At 45.9% G+C, this 26,397-nt stretch overlaps 1 protein-coding gene across 15 annotated transcripts in view, besides 2 other annotated features; it reads left to right on the top strand.

Annotated features, from left to right (window-relative positions):
• Positions 1-26,397, top strand: part of CARS2 (cysteinyl-tRNA synthetase 2, mitochondrial) — a 72,113-nt gene that overhangs the window by 30,251 nt on the left and 15,465 nt on the right. For 11 of the 15 annotated variants that reach the window (NR_147941.1, XR_001749667.3, XM_006719953.4 and 8 more), the window contains 4 exons: positions 138-221; positions 6,169-6,298; positions 15,799-15,932; positions 19,754-19,821. Coding sequence is in view for 11 of the 15 variants with exons in the window: in XM_006719953.4 (XP_006720016.1) it covers positions 138-221; positions 6,169-6,298; positions 15,799-15,932; positions 19,754-19,821 (416 nt within the window). In the remaining 4 variants the exon portion in view is untranslated. Of the gene's footprint in view, positions 1-137; positions 222-6,168; positions 6,299-15,798; positions 15,933-16,343; positions 17,745-19,225; positions 19,822-26,397 lie in introns of those variants that run through there. The other 4 variants (NR_147942.2, XR_007063696.1, XM_011521118.4 and 1 more) reach the window with 4 other exon arrangements.
• Positions 6,601-7,220: an enhancer, noted in NCBI's record as "active region_8007". NCBI's record gives its function as "activates an Ori minimal core promoter by ATAC-STARR-seq in GM12878 lymphoblastoid cells {active_cell/tissue: GM12878}" and the evidence as "EXISTENCE:reporter gene assay evidence [ECO:0000049][PMID:35858748]".
• Positions 24,655-24,764: an enhancer, noted in NCBI's record as "active region_8006". NCBI's record gives its function as "activates an Ori minimal core promoter by ATAC-STARR-seq in GM12878 lymphoblastoid cells {active_cell/tissue: GM12878}" and the evidence as "EXISTENCE:reporter gene assay evidence [ECO:0000049][PMID:35858748]".

Below are 26,397 nucleotides of genomic sequence, written 5' to 3'. Positions count from 1 at the left end.
ATAAATACTATATATGTATATGGGGCCAAATGCTATGTTCTGTATTTAAATTCTAATTACTTGTTAGATGTTAAGGTTGTCAATATGCTGATATTCAGACTGAGAAGTGATGAATTCATAATTGTCTTTATAAACAGGCAATGTCTACTTCGATCTGAAGTCTAGAGGAGACAAGTATGGCAAATTGGTCGGCGTGGTCCCTGGTCCAGTCGGAGAGCCAGGTGGGTTGGCCGGGCTCAGCCCTGTGGGTCCCTGACCTCTGCCTCGGGTCTCAGCTCTGGGGAGATGAGATCTGGAGCGCAGACCCCTCCACTTGCTCAGACACTGGCCTTACCCAGGTCACAGCTGTGTTTTAAATTTAGTGTGGTTTCTGTGGATGGCTCCAGCTTGTGAGGCATATAGTTCAAACGGCAAGTGGGGCATCGTCCACCCCCGCCCCCAGCGTGCCTGGCTCCATTCCCTGGAGACAGTGCTGGTCACTGTCTCCTTTTTCCTCCCCAGGGTTTTCAGCGCACATGAAAACCTCATACACGTACATCATATTTTCGCGTTCTTCTGTGTTACCGTACATTTAATTCCCATACGTGTCTTACTATGTGTTAAACTTCCAATCTGTTTGAATCTCTTCCTTGCTCTATTCTGTTCCAGGGAGTTATTAGGTCAAAACATTTTTATGGAGAAGAAATAGTAAGCGCAGTATATGGAACTAAATTTAAAATAATTTGAAAAGGATACTGTCTAAGGGAATCAAACAAGAATAACAGGGACAGACCCCAAAGACTGTTCAAGGTATTTCTGGTTTTAGGCACTGTCTTTCTGCGCCATAAACTGTGCCAATGAATCCTAACCATCCATAGCACTGACCCCTCAGGTTCTTTCCTTCCCCCGCCGTGGTGCCCTGTCCCGCTCCCCGCACAGGCCGGAACACAGACGCCCACATCAGCCACGTGTGAGGCGTGGCTACCAGCAGGCCGTGTGGGCTTTGCTTACACATGTGGAGGAGAAGTTTCTGAGAGTTGTACATTCTGGCATCAGGAAGGTTTTTTAAAATTATTTATTTAATAGATTTGCTTTTTAGAGCCATTTTAGCTTCATAGCAAATTTGAGAGTAAGGTACAGAGAATTCCTGTCTACCTGCTACCCTCCACACCGCCCCCCACACTGTCAGCATCCCCCACCATTGACGCATCAGCTTTGCCCAGAGACCAGAGTTGGCATCAGGGTTCACTCTCGGCACTGTGTGCTCTGGGTTTGGGTGAATGTATAGCGACATGTTTCCACCATTCCAGCATCACGCAGGATACTTGCACTGCCCTGAAAAATCCTGTGTGGTCTGTCTGCTCATCCTTCCCTCTTTCCCATCCCTGGAAATCACTGGTCTTTCTACAGTCTCTAGTTTTGCCTTTTCTAGAATGTCATATAGTTGGAGTCATACACTGTGCACCCTTCTCAGAATGGCTTCTCTCACTTAGGAATACACAGTAATTTTCCTCCGTGTCTTTTCATGGCTGAGAGCTCGTTTCTCTTTAACACTGAGTCACGTCCCAGTGTCTGAATTTACAGCAGCTTAAGCACTCACCTACTGAAGGGCATCTTCGCTGCTTCTGAGTTTTGGCAATTATGAATAAAGCTGCTGTAAACATCCACGTGCAGGTTTTCAGCTCATTTGGGCAGATACCAAGGAGCACAATGCTGGGTCCTCTGGGAAGAGGCTTATTTGTGTCAGAAACTGCCCAGCTTCTGCCAGAGTGGCTGCACCATTTTGCATCCCCACCAGTGAGGAATAAGTCCCTGTCGTTCCACATCTTCACAGCAGTGCTTTTTAAAATAAAAAATATTTTCTTATACAAAAGCAACATATTTATATAATTTATAATGGTACAAAATTAGGAAATAGAATTACACAAAACAAAGATAATAAAACCACCATTTTTACATATGGTGAAAAAAAATTTTAATGCCTTAGTGTATGTTATTTCCAAAGCAATGGTGTTGTCTTTTTAATTTTCAATTTAAATTGTTGTAATAACACAACAATAGAAAACACCATTAAAAAATGTCCAACTTGGTTGAGCATGGTGGCTCACACCTGTAATTCCAGCACTTTAGGAGGCCAAGGTTGGAGGATCACTTGAGGCCAGGAGTTCAAGACCAGCCTGGGCAATGTAGTGAGACCCCTTGCTGTCTCTACCAAACAAACAAAAATGCCCAGCTCAGTGAATTTGTGTTCAGTGGAGACCCTGCGGTCACCCCCTAGTGGAAGGAGACAACAATGGCAAGGGAGCGAAGGCACCTGAGTCCTCCGGGTCCCACGCCCTGGCCGATAACCTCCCGGGCCCTGCCTGCCAGCCTCTCTGCCCTGCCCTGGGGGCAACTACTGCCCTAACTCTGACAGCGGCCACCTCCTCATTTTTCTGAATGGGTTTATTGCCCAAACACGTGTCCCTTAACACGACACTTAGCCTTAGCTGTTCTATATTTGTGTCTTGTTTTTAGTCCACATGTTCCTCCCCTGGCTTCTTCCCCTTGCTGCTCATTTGAGGGAGAAACGTCATGTGTCTCACGGTTCCCCCAGTGGGATTTCGCTTGCTCTGAGTTTTGGAGTGTCTGTAACATTTCCCTCTGTCCTGTGTGTTTTTTTGCAAACTGGTAGTTGAATGTAGAGGCTTAATCCAGTTCTAAATTTCTGGAGAAGGCTACTTTGTAGATGGTGTATTCCTCACCAGGAGACACGTAAGGGCTCTGCCTCTGTGTGTCAGCAGCCCTGGCCGCTCTAGGCTTAGATCCTTCACTGCAAAAAGAGGTGGCATGGTGGTGCAACTCCCATTCTGCTTTATTTGCTGGAATACCTTTTTTGTTTGTTTGTTTGTTTGTTTTTTGAGACGGAATCTCACTCTTTTGCCCAGGCTGGAGTGCAGTGGCATGATCTCGGTTCACTGCAACCTCCACCTCCCAGGTTCAAGCAGTTCTCCCTGCCTCAGCCTCCAGAGTAGCTGGGATTACAGGGGCATGCCACCACACCCAGCTAATTTTTGTAGTTTTAGTAGAGATGGGGTTTTGCCGTGTTGGCCAGGCTGGTCTTGAACTCCTGACCTCAGGTGATCCACCCCCCCCCCCCCCCCCCTCGGCCTCCCAAAGTACTGGGGTTATCGGTGTGAGCCACCGTGCCTGGCCCATTTGCTGGAATACTTTTATACAGGCAGACTGTCATCTGGTTACTCAGTGGTACAGTTTGTATAAGAAAGGCAGGACCTTTTCCTTAACTTACCAGTTTTCAGAACAAGGAGTTGGCTTCCATATTTTCCTCTGGCAGTGACCAGTTCATGTTCTTCCGTTGCTGAGAGCTCGTGGGCTTCAGTGCACATGCCGTTTTAACCCATTGCTGCCATCACCTTATTGAGCCTCGGCGTGCCCCCTCTTTTGCTGGTAGCAGCTACTCCCGAGTCCCTTACACTCAGCCCTGTTGTAGTTAATAGTTTTGTGGCTGTCTATCTGATATGGTAAGATATTCCTGGCTCATCTTAAAATAAGCTGTTTCTCCTGGAAGTCCCATTTTTCTCTTTTCTTTCTTCCCTTTTCTTCCCTTTCCCTCCCTCCCTCCCTCCCTCCCTCCCTCCCTCCGGTCACGCCCGGTGTCCCTCCCTCCCTCTCTCTCTCTCTCTCTCTCTCTCTCTTTCTTTCTTTCTTTCTTTCTTTCTCTCTCTTTCTTTCTTTCTTTCTTTTCTTTTCTTTTGTTTTTTTGAGATAGAATGTCACTCTTGTTGTTCAGGCTGGAGTGCAATGGCGCGATCTCGGCTCACTGTAACCTCCGCCTCCCGAGCTCAAGCGATTCTCCTGCCTCAGCCTCCACAGTAGCTGGGATTACAGGCACCTGCCACCACACCCGGCTGATTTTTGTATTTTTAGTAGAGACGAGGTTTCGTCATATTGGTCAGGCTGGTCTCGAACTCCTGACCTCAGGTGATCCGCCCGCCTCGGCCTCCCAAAGTGCTGGGATTCTAGGTGTGAGCCACCGCGCCCAGCTCCCATTTTACTTTTAATGGGAAATGGTGTTTTGAGAACACAGCATGGGCACCATGGATACTCATTGTTGCCATCTGTCATTGCCGTCTGTCATTGTTTCCTGGCCTCTCCCATAGACTGAGGTAATGAACGCATCTGCTCCGTAGGTCACACTGATACTCAAATTCAGGGCCACGGGGTTTCATTAACCCCTCTGTCTGTTCACATGTGTGGTAAGGACAACGGGCGTGACCGGATGACCAGTGGGCATCCACCTGCTTTAGTCCATCACGGACCAGCCCTGCCCGAGGCTTGACCACGGTTAGAAGGTTCCCATGCACGTGCCTCCTCCCCGCCCCGCGTGTCCATATGTTGGAGTGCCCAGCCTCCGCCTGCGCTGCCTTCTGTAGCCCCGTCCACTCTTCCCCCCTCCCACCGTCTCCAGGTCCGCTTTTTCCCTGTTGTTTTTGAAGCTCATTCCCCAGCAGTTTCTGAAGGAAGAGCCCTTTCTCGGGAACAGTATTCTCTGCATTTGTGCCTGTGGATGACAGTGTGCTGCCTTCTACTTCAAAGTCAGTTTGGCTGGAAATACAGTCCTTGGCCGCATTTTCTGTCCTTAAGTATTTTCCTTCGGCATAAGGTGTTATTGATGCTCTCGTTTGCCATGCACTATGTAGGAATTGTTCTGTTTGCTTGGGTGCCCAGAGGATGTTATTCTTAGTAAAGTGACTAGTAATGAAAACGTAGCCTGTCCAGTCTGACCCAGAAAAAGTATCTGTGTCTGCACTCTTTAAATTCATCAAAGGTGATGGACGCCTGTGTCAGTGCTCCCGGGTGGAAAGGGTGATATTGGGACGTTGTGCACATGGGGTGTGCCTGTCCTGGGCAGATGGGACAGCAGGTTTTGGTGAGCATGCGCCACTGGCAGCCTCACCGCACGGTGATGGGCACCTTGCTCAGAGTCTCGGGTCCATAAGCCGCGTTACCTGACACGATCACGCGCCTTTCACTCTGTGTGATTAGTATCTTTTTGGAAAAAACAACCCTGAAACTCAGTTACTGATAAGCAGAGTATTTCTCGTAAGACAGAATAAGGAAAAATGGGAAAACCCCACCTGGTCCACAGTACATTCCTGAGAAATGAGCCTCTGTGGGTTCCCGGCCGCCCAGCTCTCCCTGTGCGCTGGTGCATCTGAGGTGAAAGCGTTGCCGGTGCTCCTGTCCCTCACGTGGGTGAAACAGGAGTGAACGAGAAGCCAAGGCTCCTTCGAAGAGACACAGCCTGGGGCGTGCTGCCCACTGGCGGCTGGAGGGGCTTCCACCGGGGTGGCCGGCTGGATTTCCCTGGTGGGGGTGACCAGCTGAGTTTCTGTGGTGGGGGGTGACTATCTGGGCTTCTGTGGTGGGGGTGAGGTGGTGGTGACAGCCTGGGCTTCCCTGGTGGGGTGACAGTCTGGGCTTTCATGGTAGGGGTGACTGTCTGCGTGTCCGTGGTGGGGTGATTGTGTTTCCATGGTGGGGGTGACTGTCTGGGTTTCCGTGGCGGGGTGGCTGTCTGGGTTTCCGTGGCGGGGTGGCTGTCTGAGTTTCTGTGGTGTGATTGTCTGGGTCTCCCTGGTGGGGGTGACTGAGTTTCTGTGGTGGGGTGACTGTCTGCGTGTCCGTGGTGGGGTGATTGTGTTTCCATGGTGGGGGTGACTGTCTGGGTTTCCGTGGCGGGGTGGCTGTCTGAGTTTCTGTGGTGTGATTGTCTGGGTCTCCCTGGTGGGGGTGACTGAGTTTCTGTGGTGGGGTGACTGTCTGCGTGTCCGTGGTGGGGTGATTGTGTTTCCATGGTGGGGGTGATTGGGTTTCCGTGGTAAGGGTGACTGTCTGGGTTTCCATGGTGGGGTGATTTTCTGTGTTTCCGTGGTGGGGGTGACTGGGTCCCCGTGGTGGGGGTGACTGTCTGAGTTTCCATGTTGGGGTGATTTTCTGTGTTTCCGTGGTGGGGGTGACTGGGTCTCTGTGGTGGGGGTGACTGTCTGGGTTTCCATGTTGGGGTGATTTTCTGTGTTTCCATGGTGGGGGTGACTGTCTGGGTTTCTGTGGTGGGGGTGAATGTCTGAGCATCCGTGGTGGGGTGACTGAGCTTCTTCCCACTGATGTACCGTTTGTCATCTGCAGCGGACTCTGACAAGCGTCATGCCAGTGACTTCGCCCTGTGGAAGGCGGCCAAACCCCAGGAGGTGTTCTGGGCCTCTCCCTGGGGACCCGGGAGGCCGGGCTGGCACATCGAGTGCTCTGCCATCGCTAGGTAAGGTGCCTGCCGCTTCCTGGGGGTTGGGGCTCAAGTTCCCCTGGTGCCTGCTCAGGGCAGCAGAGGATGTGCATGGGAGCAGGTGCAGCCTGGCACGTGTGCCCATGGGTGATTTTTTGGGAAGAGATTTTTGCCGGAGTGTGACGGGCCATGGAACGGGGTGAACGAAACCCATGACACATCAAGCTTTCCTGACCTCAGCACTTCCTCTGTTTAGTGGAGAGGCTGCTTTTTGGTTCACACTTGCAGCTGCCCTGTTCCCTCACCCTTCTCTGTAGTGGCTGGTGCTTGGGGCCCTGGAGGAGAGTGCTTGCACCTACATCCCTCCTCGCTTCGCACTTCTCTAGCCCCCAAATCCCTCTCCGCCTTCCCGCCAGCTCTTCTAGCTCAGGCAACTCGCATGCCAGGGTGCTCTGTGGCGGAAATCTCCAGCTCCTCCCAGATCTTCCTGGAGTCCCCCAGCCACCCTCATGTGGGTCCTCTGTCACCAAAGCTCCTCTTCCCACTGTCTGCCTGGGACCGCAGCTGCCTGCCGCCCCCACTCAGTCACACGACACTGCTCTCCTGGCCCACTGCGGCATCCCCTACTCTGGAAACACCCTCTCTGTCCTGGTTTCTGCCTCTCAGTAGAGCTTTCTCCGCCTTCTCCCTGGTCCCCTTGGACGCACCTGAGGTGTCCACACCCTGTGGCTCTGCCCACAGCCAGGGGCACCTTGGGTGGGGTGTGTGAAAGACAGCATACCGCCCGTGCCCCGTGCTGCACAGCTGCCCATGGGGCTCGCCACAGTTAGTTTCATGTTCCTGTTTTTTTGTTTTGAGACGGAGGTTCACTCTTCTTGCCCAGGTTGGAGTGCAATGGTGCGATCTCGGCTCACCGCAACCTCCGCCTCCCAGGTTCAAGCGATTCTCCTGCCTCATCCTCCTGAGTAGCTGGGATTACTGGCATGCGCCACCACCCCGGCTAATTTTGTATTTTTAGTAGAGACGGGATTTCTCCCTGCTGGTCAGGCTGGTCTCGATCTCCTGACCTCAGGTAATCCGCCCGCCTTGGCCTCCCAAAGTGCTGGGATTACAGGTGTGAGCCACTGCGCCTGGCCCACGGTTAGTTTGTTACCGTGGTGCTGGTTTGTGTGGCCTGACCCTCTGCAGGCAGCAGGGTACCCAGCCGCGCGTTTAGACTGTTCCTAGCGTTTCAGTGTTACAGATCTCCTTAGTGAATAACCACGCGTATGTTTCCTATTTGTAGAAATGGGTTTTTTTTTTCATTATATTTTAACTTCTAGGGTACATGTGCACAATGTGCAGGTTTGTTACATCTGTATACATGTGCCATGTTGGTGTGCTGCACCCATTAACTCCTCATCTACGTTAGGTATATCTCCTAATGCTATCCCTCCCCACTCCCCCACCCCATGACAGGCCCTGGTGTGTGATGTTCCCCACCCTGTGTCCAAGTGTTCTCATTGTTCAATTCCTACCTATGAGTGAGAACATGCAGTGTTTGGTTTTCTGTCCTTGTGATAGTTTGCTCAGAATGATGGTTTCCAGCTTCATCCATGTGCCTACAAAGGACATGAACTCATCCTTTTTTATGGCTACATAGTATTCCATGGTGTATATATGCCACATTTTCTTAATCCAGTCTATCATTGGTGGACATTTGGGTTGGTTCCAAGTCTTTGCTATTGTGAATAGTGCCACAATAAACATACGTGTGCATGTGTCTTTATAGCAGCATGATTTATAATCCTTTGGGTATATATCCAGTAATGGGATGGCTGGGTCAAATGGTATTTCTAGTTCTAGATCCCTGAGGAATCGCCACACTGTCTTGCACAATGGTTGAACTAGTTTACAGTCCCACCAACAGTGTAAAAGTGTTCCTATTTCTCCACATCCTCTCCAGCACCTGTTGTTTCCTGAGTTTTAATGATTGCCATTCAAACTGGTGTGAGATGGTATTTCATTGTGGTTTTGATTTGCATTTCTCTGATGGCCAGTGATGATGAGCATTTTTTCATGTGTCTGTTGGCTGCATAAATGTCTTCTTTTGAGAAGTGTCTGTTCATATCCTTCGCCCACTTTTTGATGGGGTTGTTTGATTTTTTCTTGTAAATTTGTTTAAGTTCTTTGTAGATTCTGGATATTAGCCCTTTGTCAGATGGGTAGATGGTGAAAATTTTCTCCCATTCTGTAGGTTGCCTGTTCACTCTGATGGTTGTTTCTTTTGCTATGCAGAAGCTCTTTAGTTTAATTAGATCCCATTTGTCAATTCTGGCTTTTGTTGCCATTGCTTTTGGTGTTTTAGTCATGAAGTCCTTGCCCATGCCTATGGCCTGAATGGTATTGCCTGCGTTTTCTTCTAGGGTTTTTATGGTTTTAGGTCTAACATTTCAGTCTTTAATCCATCTTGAATTAATTTTGTGTAAGGATAGGGATCCAGTTTCAGCTTTCTACATATGGCTAGCTAGTTTTCCCAGCATTGTTTATTAAATAGGGAATCCTTTCCCCATTTCTTTTTTTGTCAGGTTTGTCAAGATCAGATGGTTGTAGATGTGTGGTATTATTTCTGAGGGCTCTGTTCTGTTCCATTGGTCTATATCTCTGTTTTGGTACCAGTACCATGCTGTTTTGGTTACTGTAGCCTTGTAGTATAGTTTGAAGTCAGGTAGCATGATGCCTCCAGCTTTGTTCTTTTGGCTTAGGATTGTCTTGGCAGTGCAGGCTCTTTTTTGAACTTTAAACCATATGAACTTTAAAGTAGTTTTTTCCAATTCTGTGAGAAAAGTCATTGGTAGCTTGATAGGGATGGCATTGAATCTATAAGTTACCTTGGGCAGTATGGCCATTTTCACGATATTGATTCTTCCTATCCATGAGCATGGAATGTTCTTCCATTTGTTTGTGTCCTCTTATATTTCATTGAGCAGTGGTTTGTAGTTCTCCTTGAAGAGGTCCTTCACATCCCTTGTAAGTTGGATTCCTAGGTATTTTATTCTCTTTGAAGCAATTGTGAATGGGAGTTCACTCATGATTTGGCTCCCTGTCTGTTATTGGTGTACAGGAATGCTTGTGATTTTTGCACATTGATTTTGTATCCTGAGACTTTGCTGAAGTTGCTTATCAGCTTAAGGAGATTTTGGGCTGAGATGATGGGGTTTTCTAAATATACAATCATGTCATCTGCAAACAGGGACAATTTGACTTCTTCTTTTCCTAATTGAATACCCTTTATTTCTTTCTCCTGCCTGATTGCCCTGGCCAGAACTTCCAACACTATGTTAAATAGGAGTGGTGAGAGAGGGCATCCCTGTCTTGTGCCAGTTTTCAAAGGGAATGCTTCCAGTTTTTGCCCATTCAGTATGATATTGGCTGTGGGTTTGTCATAAATAGCTCTTATTATTTTGAGATACGCCCCATCAATACCTAGTTTATTGAGACTTTTTAGCATGAAGGGCTGTTGAATTTTGTCAAAAGGCCTTTTCTGCATCTATTGAGATAATCATGTGGTTTTTGTCTTTGGTTCTGTTTATGTGATGGATTACGTTTATTGATTTGTGTATGTTGAACCAGCCTTGCATCCCAGGGATGAAGCCCACTTGATCGTGGTGGATAAGCTTTTTGATGTGCTGCTGGATTCGGTTTGCCAGTATTTTATTGAGGATTTTTGCATCGATGTTCATCAGGGCTATTGGTCTAAAATTCTCCTTTTTTGTTGTGTCTCTGCCAGGTTTTGGTATCAGGATGATGCTGGCCTCTTAAAATGAGGGAGGATTCCCTTGTTTTCTGTTGATTGTAATAATTTCAGAAGGAATGGTACCAGCTCCTCCTTGTACCTCTGGTAGAATTTGGCTGTGAATCCTTCTGGTCCTGGACTTTTTCTGGTTGGTAGGCTATTAATTATTGCCTTAATTTCAGAGCCTGTTATTGGTCTATTCAGGGACTCAACTTCTTCCTGGTTTAGTCTTGGGAGGGTGTATGTGTCCAGGAATTTATCCATTTCTTCTAGATTTTCTAGTTTATTTGCATAGAGGTGTTTATAGTATTCTCTGATGGTAGTTTGTATTTCTGTGGGATCGGTGGTGATATCCCCTTTATCATTTTTTGTTGTGTCTATTTGATTCTTCTCCCTTGTCTTCTTTATTAGTCTTGCTAGCGGTCTATCAATTTTGTTGATCTTTTCAAAAAACCAGCTCCTGGATTCATTGATTTTTTGAAGGGTTTTTTGTGTCTCTATCTCCTTCAGTTCTGCTCTGATCTTAGTTATTTCTTGCCTTCTGCTAGCTTTTGAATGTGTTTGCTCTTGCTTCTCTAGTTCTTTTAATTGTGATGTTAGGGTGTTAGTTTTAGATCTTTCCTGCTTTCTCTTGTGGGCATTTAGTGCTATAAATTTCCCTCTACACACTGCTTTAAATGTGTCCCAGAGATTCTGGTATGTTGTGTCTTTGTTCTTATTGGTTTCAAAGAACGTCTTTACTGCTGCCTTCATTTCATTATGTACCCAGTAGTCATTCAGGAGCAGGTTGTTCAGTTTCCATGTAGTTGAGAGGTTTTGAGTGAGTTTCTTAATCCTGAGTTCTAGTTTGATTGCACTGTGGTCTGAGAGACAGTTTGTTACAATTTCTGTTCTTTTACATTTGCTGAGGAGTGCTTTACTTCCAAATATGTGGTCCATTTTGGAATAAGTGCGATGTGGTGCTGAGAAGAATGTATATTCTGTTGATTTGGGGTGGAGAGTTCTGTAGATGTCTATTAGGTCCGCTTGGTGCAGATCTGAGTTCAATTCCTGGATATCCTCGTTAACTTTCTGTCTCATTGATCTGTCTAATGTTGACAGTGGGGTGTTAAAGTCTCCCATTATTATTGTGTGGGAGTCTAAGTCTCTTTGTAGGTCTCTAAGGACTTGCTTTATGAATCTGGGTGCTCCTGTATTAGGTGCATATATATTTAGGATAGTTAGTTCTTCTTGTTGAATTGATCCCTTTACCATTATGTAATGGCCTTCTTTGTCTCTTTTGATCTTTGTTGGTTTAAAGTCTGTTTTATCAGACACTAGGTTTGCAACCCCTGCTTTTTTTTGTTTTCCTTTTGTTTGGTAGATCTCCCTTCATCCCTTTATTTTGAGCCTGTGTGTGTCTCTGCACGTGAGATGGGTCTCCTGAATACAGCACACTGATGGGTCTTGACTCTTCATCCAATTTGCCAGTCTGTATCTTTTAAGTGGAGCATTTAGCCCATTTACATTTAAGGTTAATATTGTTATGCGTGAATTTGATCCTGTCATTATGATGTTAGCTGGTTATTTTGCTCGTTAGTTGATGCAGTTTCTTCCTAGCCTTGACGGTCTTTACAATTCGGCATGTTTTTGCAGTGGCTGGTACTGGTTGTTCCTTTCCATGTTTAGTGCTTCCTTCAGGAGCTCTTGTAAGGCAGGCCTGGTGGTGACAACATCTCTCAGCATTTGCTTGTCTGTAAAGGATTTTATTTCTCCTTCACCTATGAATCTTAGTTTGGCTGGATATGAAATTCTGGGTTAAAAATTCTTTTCTTTAAGAACGTTGAATATTGGCCCCCACTCTCTTCTGGCTTATAGAGGTTCTGCCAGGAGATCTGCTGTTAGTCTGATGGGCTTCCCTTTGTGGGTAACCCGACCTTTCTCTCTGGCTGCCCTTAACATTTTTTCCTTCATTTCAACTTTGGTGAATCTGACAATTATGTGTCATGGAGTTGCTCTTCTCGAGGAGTATCTCTGTGGCGTTCTCTGTATTTTCTGAATGTGAATGTTGGCCTGCCTTGTCAGGTTGGGGAAGTTCTCCTGGATAATATCCTGAAGAGTGTTTTCCAACTTGGTTCCATTCTCCCTGTCACTTTCAGGTACACCAATCAGACGCAGATTTGGTCTTTTCACATAGTCCCATATTTCTCGGAGGCTTTGTTCATTTCTTTTTACTCTTTTTTCTCTAAACTTCTCTTCCTGCTTCATTTCATTCATTTGATCTTCAATCACTGATACCCTTTCTTCCACTTGATCAAATCGGCTACTGAAGCTTGTGCATGCATCACATAGTTGTTGTGCCATGGTTTTCAGCTCCATCAGGTCATTTAAGGTCTTGTCTATGCTGTTTATTCTGGTTAGCCATTCGTCTAATCTTTTTTGAAGGTTTTTAGCTTCTTTATGATGGGTTCAAACATCCTCCTTTAGCTCGGAGAAGTTTGTTATTACCGATCGTCTGAAGCCTTCTTCTCTCAACTCATCAAAGTCATTCTCTGTCCAGCTTTGTTCCATTGCTGGTGAGGAGCTGCGTTTCTTTGGAGGAGAAGAGGCGCTCTGATTTTTAGAATTTTCAGCTTTTCTGCTCTGGTTTCTCCCCATCTTTGTGGTTTTTGTCTACCTTTGGTCTTTGATGGTGGTGACATACAGATGGGGTTTTGGTGTGGATGTCCTTTCTGTTTGTTAGTTTTCCTTCTAACAGTCAGGACCCTCAGCTGCAGGTCTGTTGAGTTTGCTGGAGGTCCACTCCAGACCCTGTTTGCCTGGGTATCACCAGCAGAGGCTGCAGAACAGCAAATATTGCAGAACGGCAAATGTTGCTGCATGATCCTTCCTCTGGAAGCTTCGTCTCAGAGGGCACCTGGCTGTATGAGGTGTCAGTCAGCCCCTACTGGGAGGTGTCTCCCAGTTGGTCTACTCGGGGATCAGGGACCCACTTGAGGAGGCAGTCTGTCCGTTCTCAGATCTCAAACTCCGTGCTGGGAGAACCACTACTCTTCAAAGCTGTCAGTCAGGAACGTTTAAGTCTGCAGAAGTTTCTGCTGCCTTTTGTTCAGCTATGCCCTGTCCCCAGAGGTGGAGTCTACAGAGGTGGGCAGGCCTCCTTGAGCTGTAGTGGGCTCCACCCAGTTCGAGCTTCCTGGACACTTTGTTTACCTACTCAAGCCTCAGCAATGGCAGATGCCCCTCCCCCAGCCTCGCTGCCGCCTTGCAGTTCATCTCAGACTGCTGTGCTAGCAGTGAGCGAGGCTCCGTGGGCGTGGGACCCTCCGAGCCAGGCGCAGGATATAATCTCCTGGTGTGCCGTTTGCTAAGACCATTGGAAAAGCACAGTATTAGGGTGGGAGTGTCCTGATTTTCCAGGTACCGTCTGTCACAGCTTCCCTTGGCTAGGAAAGGGAATTCCCCGACCCCTCACACTTCACAGGTGAGGCGATGCCCCACCCTGCTTCGGCTCACACTCCGTGAGCTGCACCCACTGTCTGACGAGCCCCAGTGAGATGAAGCCAGTACCTCAGTTGGAAATGCAGAAATCACCCGTCTTCTGCGTCGCTCATGCTGGGAGCTGTAGACTGGAGCTGTTCCTATTCGGCCATCTTGGAAACGGCACCAGAAATGGGTTTTAAAAAAATCACTGTTAACTCATGGATTTTAGTATACTTGATAGCAAATATTTATTTTAATAAACAGTTTTAAAAAATTAGAAACACAGGAAAGGATGATTAAGGTAAACATTTTAAGCTAGTAGCTACATCAGAGATTTTCAGATGGATAAATCCAGTCACCTCGAAACCTGTGGGCTTTGTATCCAGGATGTGTTTCCTGGCTGGGTGTAGAGGGGGTTTGGGTGGAGATAATTATCTCCCACACGAGGACTCTGCTCCATTCATGGACTCCCAGACAGCTTGAGTATTCAGCGCCGAGTAGGGTCGCCCCATTCCACCAGGAGGGAAGGCCTTGTCCCCCACGACCTGCCTATCTAAATTTTGGTGGATCTTCTTCAAGACCCAGAAAGAGATTCCCTTTTCTGCTAAGCCCCCACCACTTGCACTGTGGTTATGCGGCTCATCTGGAAACGCTTCCGTCATTCCTCAGACCTCAAACCCTGTTGTTAGTAGGAAGCATGGGCCTGACTTTTGATGAAAAAAAAGTAAAAATGTCCAGTCACCAGTCACACTTTACTTCTATGTGTTTATCAATACTTAATAGCAGACTATGGCATATAAACTGGGTTGTAGATTCATTTTTTAGATTCAAATAATTTCTCTAAAGCAGGTAGAAAACATTTAGTGAGTTTCAAATGTAATGTTATGTGAAATTCTTATTTTTGTTGAAAGATTAAATAATGAAGAGACCATTATTGTTGTTCCTTCTGAGCCTTCTCTGATTTTAAAATAGGTGTAACGTAGAGATCAGGAGCGAAACTAACATAGTGAAGGTTGTGGCCCCATAGTTCAGCTTGTGAAACTTTCACGTCGTTGTGTTGGCTTCAGATCTTCGGAAGGGAGAATTGCCCATCCAAATACAAATGAGGCCCCTCCCATCCCCTCCCCACTCCTGGTCCCACAGTCTCCTTCACAGCATTTGAACTGCAGGGAATGTTAGAGTTACCCTAAGACGACCCGTCACTAAGATGTAAAAATCTTTTTTTTTTTTTGAGACGGAGTCTCGCTCTGTCACCCAGGCTGGAGTGCAGTGGCGCGATCTCGGCTCACTGCAAGCTCCGCCTCCCGGGTTCATGCCATTCTCTTGCCTCAGCCTCCCAAGCAGCTGGGACTACAGGCACCCGCCACCACGCCCGGCTGATTTTTTGTATTTTAGTGGAGACGGGGTTTCACCATGTTAGCCAGGATGGTCTCGATCTCCTGACCTTGTGATCCGCCTGCCTCAGCCTCCCAAAGTGCTGTGTTTACAGGCGTGAGCCACCGCGCCCGGCTAAGATGTAAAAGTCTTAGAACGTCACACTACAGCGTGTGTTTCTGTGATGCCTGTTTCCCCAGGCTCGAGACCTCCGTGTGCAGTGCTTCCCCGAGCACAGGGAACCAGACCAGTGGGAGCAGGAAGGACCTCTGCGAGGTGTTGGCACCTTAGAAATTTCTCTATCTATCATTTTAAGAAAATCCACCGGCCTGCTGCGTCGCCATGCTTCTGCAGCTGGTCCAGGGACAGAGCTTCGAGTGGGCTGGCCCAGCCTCATTTCCCCCATCAACCCCATTAATTTTTTTGTATGGGTTTGCAGAAACGCGGTTTTTATGGAGGCATGGCACAGCACTGTAGGAGAAATGGCAACCTGTGTTGCTTTGAACTCTCTTACCTTGTTATTCGTAGGTGACTGTTAGTTACACTTGCAAAAGCCAAATGAAACACTGTCATGATTTTATAGTTCCATCTCTTGTTAAAATTGGAAAACCACTAAACTCTACCTATTGAAAGTAAGTAAAGGTAATTTTTTGAGTTGAAAAAGAAAGAAAGAAAAAGAGAAAAAAAGAACCTGGAGCAAAAAGAATTAAGTGCCTTTACTAGGATGAAAAGTCATGAATTACGGGCTTGTGATGACAGGATTTCAGTTTTCATTTGAATCAGTTAAATTATCATGCAAATTGATGCAAAACTGAGATCCATTTATTCATTGAATTAAAAAGGCTGGAAGGAATAAATAGACGAGGTTAGAAGAAAATATGTTGCTTGATTGAATGAATTCACTACTTTGCACTGTGTCTTGCAGTATGGTATTTGGAAGTCAACTGGATATCCATTCAGGTGGGATAGATTTAGCTTTTCCACATCATGAAAACGAAATTGCACAGTGCGAAGTCTTTCATCAGTGCGAGCAGTGGGGAAATTATTTTCTGCATTCTGGTAAGTAATAACTTCAGATTAATTTGTTCTGTTTCAATTCTAGCAGTTCTGTCTTTGTCGGCGGAACAGCTACATTTGGAAATACATAGTAGATCAGCTAATAGGTCAAGAAATGGATTTGCCTCTTAAATTATTTTTGAGTTTCAATCATTTGAACATGAGCTTCCTTGGATTGCAGCAATGATTATACCTTTTTGGAACTGACTAGAATATGGAAAATGTTTGGCAATGCTGTTCTATATAAGGTTTCTTTCAAGTAAAACTATTAAGAAGGAACTTGAAGTAGTACAATGTAACGATAATTATGAACATCCTTTCTGAAGCTATAATGTTGTCACTAGACATCTCTGCCATCTTCTAATAACATTGCCCTTTCTTCCACTGTTCAAACACCTAACTGATGAACCCCAGCTGTCTGCTCTCAGAAGTGGATGCAACACCATGAGTTAAGCAACACCTCGAACCCAGCAGTTTTGGAATTCACTTGGATGCACTGGAAGAGTCGTATTTCCAAGTTTACAGGGTCACGATTAACTAGTCTTATTACCTTTTGGGGATGGACAGCTAAGGTATTTGAGATGAAGAAAGATAAAGAGTGTTTGGTAGTGATAGGATTTGGAGATGCAAACTTCGACATCTAAAATACAGAAAATTAACAAATACTATCTTTTGAAGTCCTTGAATTGGGAAATTAGGATGTCACAGTAAAGTGACATTAAGTGCAGAAGTGCTCTGGTTTTCTGGTCCGCAGCAGAGTTCACTTGGGTTTCTTCGTGAAAGTACATGAGGCTGATTGCCCCGAAGTCACTTCCTGCAGCATGTCCTTCACCCCGGGCTTACCCTGTTGAGTCGGGGAACCCAGCAGGCGGCTCTGCCCCTACCATTACCTACTATGTCTGCCTCTCACAGTGCCCCAGTTTTTGTCTAAAAATGAAGCAGAAACAAAGCTGGCTGCGTGGCTGTTTGAGGACTTAGGAGCTGTTGTCCAGCACCCCATACCATTTCCCTGGGGAGGGCTCAGCACTAGCTGAAATCCACTTTATTCCGGTGTCGGTGGAGTTTCTAATCAGAACAAACGCCTGCCGCCCTCACTTCCGTTTCAGCTGGCGCTCACATGGGAAGGGGGTGCACGCTGCCCAGTGGTGGAATATTTAAGGCATCGCCCCTCAGGGAGCCGAGCACTGATTTCCACAGCCGGGGGCCTGCACTCCACTTTTGACCATGGGGAAGGAGGTCTCTCTTCCGTGGCCCAAGGACTTCTGAATTGTGTTCTTGGAGAGGAAGCGTGCTGGGAGCCCAGATAGTGGGGCTGAGACACTGTGTCTCAGGCACAGAGGTAGTCGTGTCCCTTGTCCCAGATGAAGAAAGATAAAGAGTGTTTGGTAGTGATAGATTTGGAGATGCAAACTTTGACATCTGAAATACAGGAAATTAACAAATACTAGTTTTTGAAACCCTTGAATTGGGAAATTAAGATGTCACAGTAAGGTGACATTAAATGCAGAAGTGCTCCGGTTTTCTGGTCCGCAGCAGGGTTCACTTGGGTTTCTTCATGAAAGTAAATAGATGAGGCTGATTGCCCCGAAGTCACTTCCTCGTTGACTTCGTTCAGGGCTCAGTTCAGCGCTCCCTGAACTGTCTGAGGAGCTGGAGTTGCTCCCTCCGCAGGCACGTTTCTGTCTGCAGGTTTATCCTGTTCAGTAGGTCAGGGTTTGTTACTGACAACCATGACCTGCTGTGAGCCCTTCTGCGAGTGTGGAGCTGGGGGGCAAGAAGGGCAGCCTTAGCTGTGCCAACGCTTCGTCCTGTCAGGTAATGAGGAGGGGCCGGGTCTAGAAACGGAGGTCGTGTTCACCTTCCGATGTGGGAATGGGAAAGCATTTGCTGTTGTTGTTGAAACAATTTCGCTCCGTCCCCCAGCCTGGGAGTGCAGTGGCACTATCTGAGCTCACCGCAACCTCTGCCTCCTGGGTTCAAGCAATTCTCCTGCCTCAGCTGTTCTAGTAGCTGCGACTACAGGTGCATACCACCATACCCAGCTAATTTTTGTATTTTTAGTAGAAGCAGGGTTTCACCATGTTGGCCAGGCTGGGCTCAAACCCCTGACCTCAAGTGATCTGCCACCTCTGCCTCCCAAAGTGCTGGGATTATAGGCGTGAGCCACTGCACGTGGTGGGAAAGTTTTGTGGCTATTTTTCAGTGATTTTTTACTACCTGTTAAGATACCAGCGATCTTTTTCATACTAGTTTGGCCCCAAACAAAACATCAGTGTCTCCTGACGCAGGAGAAGTGACACCTGTTCTCCTGTACCCAGTGGATGGAAGAGCTAAGTGGGCAGACACTATCCCAGCCTGTTAGGGCTGCTATAGCCAAACTGAAAGCGGGCGTGTTATGAACAACAGCAATGAATTCCTCACAGTTCTGCTGGCTGGGAGTCCTGCGTCAGCGCACTGGCAGACTCGGTGTCTCGGGAGGGCCTGCTTCCCATTTGTAGACGGCCGTCAGCTCTCGAGGGGCCTCTGTTATGAGAGCACTGATTCCATTCACACTGGCTCTGCCCCTGTGACCTCATCACCTCCCACAGGCCCTGCCTTCAGTTACCGTCACCTGAGGGCTGAGGATTTTGACAGGAATTTGGGAGGACATAAACATTCAGGCCTTAGCAAATGTGTTTTATTTTCCAACTATCATCAATTTTAAAAAATCAGAATCGTGCTTGGTGTAATCACATTATATAGAATTACATGTTCAAAGTTATATATGTTTTTTGGAAATCACATTCTAATTGGTTGGTTGGTTGGTGTATTTATTTATTTATTTTTGAGGCAGAGTCTCGCTCTGTGGCCCAGGCTGGAGTGCAGTGACATGAACATAGCTCACTCTAGGCCCAACCTCCTGGGCTCAAGCGATCCTCCCACCTCAGTCTCCTGAGTTGTTGGGATGTTGGGACTGCAGGTGTGCCCCACCACGCCCAGCTAATTTTTAATTTTTTTTGTAGAGACCGGGTGTTGCCATGTTGCCCAGACTGGTCTCCAAACTCCTGGGCTCAAGCGGTCCTTCCACCTTAGCCTCCCAAAGGGCTGGTATTACGGGTGTGAGCCACTGCGTCCGGCCTGGAGGACTCCTGTTTGAAGTTGTGTCAGAAAAAGAGGAAGAGTCTTCTGTTAGAAACAGAAAGCCCTTCTCTTGGAGATAAGCCTTGTAAAAAGCTACAGGCCAGGGAGAATTTCAGGGTCAGATTCAGGAGTTCCTTAAATGAGTTTGGTTTTCCTCCTGTCTTTCACATACATAGGGGATGAAATAATACCCAGGTCATCAAAGTCTGTGAAACCAACTGCAACAGGACCTCTGATTCTTCCCACTCAGAGACCCACAAGTGCCACTCTGTTTTTGGACAACGGTCAACAAGCTTCACCGCCAAGTGCCTGATTTGTCAAATGAGAGCTTTGTCGTTTCTTCAGATGCTGACCAGTATCTGAATTCAGTATCTCTGAATTACAGGAGAGGAGAAAATAGATGAAATACTGCTGTCAGTACCACGGTTGCTGGCTCTTGTTTAGCTTCTGAGTCAGCTGGGGCACCCCTGCCATCTGCTCTCAGTGTGGGGCTGGGTGTCCCTGCACCGTGGAACAAGGGCAGGTCCTGTCTTCCCGGAAGGCCCAGCACGGGTGAAGATTTGGGGGCAGATTTATACCAACATACACTGGTCTATACATTGGATATGTGCAGGTTCCCATTCGTTTCCTGGGGAGCCATGTGTCCCTGAGGCCAGAGAGTCTCCTCACCCAGCTCAGACTGAATGCTTTTGTTTTTGTTTCAGGGCATTTGCACGCCAAAGGCAAAGAAGAAAAAATGTCCAAATCATTAAAGAACTACATTACTATTAAGGTAACGTGCTTTTTGTATTGTATCTCTGAGGTGCCGATAGCTTGTGGAACCCATCTTAAAGGCTTCTGTGTCATTTGAGAACCACGGAATCCCATTCCCAGTGCCCTCTGGCCCCTTTCTTATGACGAGACCTGCCTCACCTCCCTCCCACTTTAAGTGGCTCTCCGCCTAATCGCGCCCTCAGCTGTGCGCCTCCCGCAGGTTTCCGCAGTCCCTTTCTTGGTGGAGCTTCCCTTTCTCTTTCCGTGTTTCAAGGCCGGCGCCCTCTTCCTTGCCTTTTCCTTTTATAATTGTTGTCTCCCTCTTGGTGCATCTGCTGACTTCCTTCCCGCCCTCACCCACCACCTCTTACTGGTGTGGCTTTGGGATTTGTTTAGGTTTTGCTGTTTGCCCTTAATAGGCTCAGAGCTGGCTGGATCCTTAACCAACCTGAAAAATGGCATCATGCTATGCTGCTGACACATGGAATGTGAATTTTCGTGTGAATGGAAAACAGGCACACCCACGGAGGGCTCTGGCTGACATAGTTTGAACTCCTCCTTTGTCTTCTGGCCTGTCTTTAAAGCCAGATTTAATTTAATTGCAAAATAAATGGAGAAGAATAGTATCCAGATCTCACCGCCTAAATAGCAAACCAGTGAAAGCTGTACCCATCAGATTTAGGATACACCAACAGGGACTGCTCCTCACAAAATAATTTGTATATAGTTTCCTTAAGTAGAATTTTTCCGTTTTATCCTAGGCAAAATTTCAAACCGATAGAAAAGTTGAAAGAAACATCACTATGGCTCCACCCAGATTCAGTAGTTGTGATGATTTTGCTGTATTTGCTGTGTAGGATCTTTTTCGCCTACCCAGCTTAGATTCTCCCACCGGGGAGCCTCAATTAAATTGGTAAATTAGACTCTGGCCAAAGACAGATTAGCAAGAGAAAAACAAAGAGAAATGTGTTAGAGCGTGCACGGCACACGTGGAGGTGGAGCACAGGGTTGCATGACACAGAGGAAGGTTGGAGCCCGGGGCCACGGGGTTGCATGACGCAGAGGGGGTCCAAACCCAGCCACGGGGTTGCATGGTATGCAGTGGGGTCGGAGCCTGGCCATGGGGTTGCATGACGCAGAAGGGGGTCCGAAGCCGGCCATGGGGTTGCATGACGCAGAGGGGGGTCGGAGCCCGGCCACGGGGTTGCATGACGCAGAGAGAGGTCCGAACCCGGCCGTGGGGTTGCATGACGCAGAGGGGGTCCGAACCCGACCATGGGGTTGCATGGTGCAGAGTGGGTCGGAGCCCGGCCACTGCAGGGACCTTGCTTTATTGAGCTTCACTTGACCGCACTTCGCAGATGCTGTGTCTTTACAGATTGAAGGTTTGTGGCAGCCCTGCACCAAGCAAATCTGTTGGCACAATTTTGCCAACAGCATGTTCTCACTTCCTTTCTGTGTGTCATGTTTGGGTAATTCTTGCAATATTTCAAAGTTTCTCATTATTAAATCTGTTATGGTGATCTGTGGTCAGTGATCTCTGATGTTACTGTTGTAATTGTTTTCGGGCTCCATGAACCACATCCATGGAAGACAGAACTTAGTATGTGTTGTGCATGTTCTGACTGCTCCACCAACTGTCCATTCCTTTAAATCTGCCCCTCCTTGGACTCCCCTATTCCCTGAGACACAACATTATTGAAATTAGGCCAGTTACTAGCCCTACAGTGGCCTCTAAGTGTTCAAGTGAAAGGAAGAGTCACACATCTCTCACTTTCCATCAAAAGCTAGAAATGCTTAAGCTTAATGAGGAGGGTATGTCAAAAGCTGAGACAGGCTGAAAGCTAAGCCTCTTGCACCAAATATTTAGCTAAGTTGTGAATGCAAAGGAAAAGTTCTTGAAGGAAATCAAAAGTGCTATTCCAGCGAACACACGAATGATTAGCAAGCAAAACAACCTTATTGCTGATAATGGAGAAAGTTTGAGTGGTCTGGATAGAGAAGATCAAACCAGCCACAACATTCCTGTAAGCCACAGCCTAATCTGGAACAAGGCCCTAACTTTCTTCAGTTCTATGAAGGCTGAGAGAGATGAGAAAGCTGCAAAGAAAAGTTGGAAGCTAGCAGGGGTTGGTTTGTGAGGTTGAAGGAAAGAAGACCTAGCTAAAATAAGTGATGAAGGTGGCCACACTAAACAGCAGATCTTTCGAATGTAGATGAAATTGCCTTCTATTGGAAGAAGATGCTGTCTAGGACTTTTGTAGCTAGAAAGAAGTCAATGGCTGGCTTCAGAGCTTCAAAGGACAGGCTGACTATTGTTAGGGGCTAATGTAGCTGGTGACTTTAAGTTGAAACCAGCGCTCATTGACAATTCAAAAAATCCTAGGGCCCTTGAGAATTACCCTAAATCGGCTGGGTGCAGTGGCTCACGTTTGTAATCCCAGCACTTTGGGAGGCCCAGGTGGGCAGATCATGAGGTCAGGAGTTCGAGACCAGCCTGGTCAACACAGTGAAACCCTATCTCTACTAAAAATACAAAAATTAGCTGGGCGTGGTGGTGGACACCTGTAATCTCAGCTACTTGGGAGGCTGAGGCAGGAGAATCACTTGAACCTGGGAGGCGGAGGTTGCAGTGAGCTGAGATTGTGCCACTGCACTCCAGCCTGGGCGACAGCTAGACTCCATCTCAAAAAAAAAAAAAAAAAAGAATTATGCTAAGTGTACTCTCCCTGTGCTGTATACGTGGAATATCAAAGCGTGTATGACAGCACATCCATTTACAGCATGGTTTACTGAATATTTTAAGCCCACTGTTGAGACCTACTGCTCAGAAAAAAGGATTCCTTTCCAAATATTGACAGTGCACCTGGTCATCCAGGAGCTTTGATGGAGACATACAATGAGAGTAATATTGTTTTTATGCTGCTAACAGAACATTCTGCAGCCCATTGATCAAGGAATAATTTCAACTTTTAAGTCTTATTATTTAAGAAAAATATTTCATAAGGCTATAGCTGCCATAGATAGTGATTCCTCTGATGGAGCTGGGCAAAGTAAATTGGAAACCTTCTGGAAAGGATTCACCATTCTAGATGCCAGTAAGAACATGTATGATTGATGGGAATAGGTCAAAATATTAACATTAACAGGAGTTTGAAAGAAGTTAAGTCCAACTCTCATGGTTGACTTTGAGGGGTTCAGGACATCATTGGAGGAAGTCACTGCATATATGGTGGGAATAGCAAGAGAACTATTGGAATTGGAAATGGATCCTGGAGATGTGACTGAACTGCTGCAACCTCATGATAAAAGTTGAACAAACGAGGAGTTGCTTCTTATGGATGAGCAAAGAAAGTGGTTTCTTGAGATGGAATCTACTCCTGGTGAAGATGCTGTGGACATTGTTGAAATGACAACAAAGGATTTAGACTATTGCATAAATTTAGTTGATAAAGCAATGGCAGGGTTTGAGAGGATTGGCTCCAATTTTGAAAGACATTCTGCCGTGGGTAAAATGCTATCAAACATTGGATGCTACAGAGAAATCTTTCATGAAAGGAAGAGTCAATTGATGGCACAGACTTCATTATTGTCTTGTTTTAAGAAATTGCCACAGTAACTCAGCCTTCATCAACCACTACCTTGATCAGTCAGCAGCCATAATATTGAATCAAAACCTTCCACCAGCAAAAAGATGACTCACTGAAGGCTCATATGATTATCATTTTTGTTAGCAATAAAATATTTTTTCATTAAGGTACGTACATTGTTCTTTCAGACATAATGCTATTATATACTTAATAGACTGCAGTATAATAGTGTAAACATAACTTTTATATGCACTGGGAAACCAGAAAATATGTGTGCCTTGCTTTATTGTGATATTCGCTTTATTGTGGTGGTCTGGAACCAACCCTTCAGTATGTCTGAGGTCTGCCTGTGAACCATGCTAGGCCAAACAAAAAAAAAAAAGGAGATCTGGGCTTGAGGAGGGGCAGGCAAGTTTTGGGAGGGTGACTAGGAAAAGTGATAAACAAGGATTGTTGAGTAAAATTTGTTTTGCAGATTGAGCCTCTCTATTGAGAGTTGTTAGGGAGTCCTCACCCTGCTACAGCAGGATACATCTTTTACAACTGGGAGCTTTGTTTACAAGGAAAACTTGCACCCTGTTTTTAGAGCATTTCCTGCATCTGCTTGTTCTCAGTGGTCTTTAGCTCAAAATAATCTGTATGCCAGGGAGGCATATTCAGGGCTGGCAGGCTGTGGTACCCTTCAGGGGCTTTATCTGTGTTTATGGGAGTGGTGAGCGTGTGTGTGCATGTGCACATTTGTGTGAGCATGTATGCACATGGACACCTGTATATAATGCTTGTTATTGACCATTAGGAAATACATTGAAGACATCATCACACTTCTCTATTCTGTAACCAACTCCTAAAAATAAGGATGCTTTCCTACATAATCCAAACACCTAAAAAGTTAGCAGTAATTTCTTAATATTATCTAGTCTGTAGTCTGTTTTTCTTTTTTTGTTTGTTTGTTTTTTTGTTAGTCTCACTATCACCCAGGCTGGAGTACAGTGGCGTGATCTCAGCTCACTGCAACCTCCACCTCCCAGGTTCAAATGATTCTCCTGCCTCAGCCTACCGAGTAGCTGGGATTATAGGTGCACACCACCATGCCTGGCTAATTTTTGTTTTGTTTTGTTTAGTAGAGACAGGGTTTCACCATGTTGGCCAGGCTGGTCTGGAACTCCTGACCTCAGGTGATCCACCTGCCTCAGCCTCCCAAAGTGCTGGGATCACAGGCATGAGTCACTGCGCCTGGCCTGTTTTCTCCAGTTATCCCCAAAATGTGTTTTATACTTTTATTTTTAAACGAGGAGTTGATCAAGGTTCATATGTTGCATTTGTATGTTGTGTCTTTTTAGGGTTTTTTTTAATGTGGTTAAAAAAACCACGTAACATAAAAGTTATCATCTTAACCATACAGTTCAGTAGTGTTAATATGTTCACATTGTTATGCAACAGATCTCTAGAATTTTTTCATCTTGTAAAACCAAAACTGTGGACTCACTGAACAACTTCCCATTTCCCCTTTCCCCAGGCCTTGGCAACAACCCTTCTACTTTCTGTTTCTATGATTTTGGCTGCTCTAGATCTCGTGTAAGTGGACTCACATAGTAATTGTCCTTTTGTGACTGGCTTATTTCACTTAGCATGGTGTTCTCAAGATTCACCTGTGCTCCTTTATTCCATGTCAAAATTTCCTTCCTTTAGGCTGAATTATATTTCATTGTTCTTTCTAGGTTTCTAATCTAATCTACAGCAGTCTTTCTACTTTTATTTTTCCTGTGGTGTTGACTTTTTGAAGAGATTGAGCCACTTGTCTTGTTGAACATCCCACATTTTGGATTTGTCTGTTTCATTGTGTTGTCATTTAGCTTGTTCTTCTATCTCCTGTAGTTCGTTTCACGGGAAGTGAGGGTTAAAGGGTCAGTTTGATCCAGGTAGAAGCTTTTTGGCAGGAATACCTTGTAGTTGATGCTGTGAACTCACAGTGCATTCCCTGGGGGCTGCAAGGTCAGGTTGTCCTACGATTCATGATGGTGAGTTTTACCATTTGTTAAGGAATGACTACCAGATCCCTCTACTGCAGAGTTTATTTTCTTCTTATGAATATTAAGCATCTGAGAGGTGGCATGCTGCATGGTAATTTGTTTCCTAATAAGCTTCCACCCTATGGTTTTAGAGGCTTCACTTTGATCAGGTATTTCATTGGTTATTGCAAAGTCATGGTTGTCTAATTGTTCCCTCTTTTACATTTATTAGTTGGCATTCTTCTTAAAGAAAAGTGTTTTTGTCTTTCTTTTTTTAGTAGACAGAGTCAGTGATTTATATTTATTTAGTGTATTGTCAATTCAGTCATTATCTTTTGGGTGTTGAAATCATCCCGGATTTAGCCAGGGAGGGCTCTTCTGACTGGCTCCGGTCCCCCAGGGACAGACCCCTCGGCCTCTGTTGTGCCCTCCTGCACCTGCCTGCCTTTTGCTTTCCTACCCAGACCTGCCGTTTCTCCAAGCAGCCACCCTGCCTTTGAGGGGAAATGGGATTTTGAAGGCAAGATTTGGGCACTGCGATGTTGATTGCTACCAGAGTGACACTGCGTCTACGCTTTTTCAGGGGTCAGAGCTAGGGGAGAGGGAGATAAACCTGCACATACAAAATAGATTCCTTATTTGGGTTAATTTTGATATATCCAAATAAAATTTAATATCACAGGGCTTTTTAGTTTTAGCTCTTTATTTTCCTCTCTTACTAAACATAAGAGCATATCAACTTTTTGTTTTATCTTAAAATACACACAAAATAAATTTAAAAACTTAATACCAATATTACCATTAACAGTAAAACTATTGAGTAAAACTTAAGGCTTCTCTTATTTCTTTTTAAACTAATAGCTTTATTGAAATGTAATGCACATACTATATAAGTATACTATTTAAATGGTACTGCTTAGTGGTTTGTAAGATATTCGCAGTTGTGAAACGACCACTATCTAAGAACGTTTTTTTTTTTTTCTTTTTGAGACAGAG

Source organism: Homo sapiens, chromosome 13 (assembly GCF_000001405.40).
Source record: "Homo sapiens chromosome 13, GRCh38.p14 Primary Assembly".
NCBI classification, from domain to species: domain Eukaryota; kingdom Metazoa; phylum Chordata; class Mammalia; order Primates; family Hominidae; genus Homo; species Homo sapiens.
Note: the sequence above shows the minus strand (reverse complement) of the source record. Positions and strands in the feature narration are given on the sequence as shown.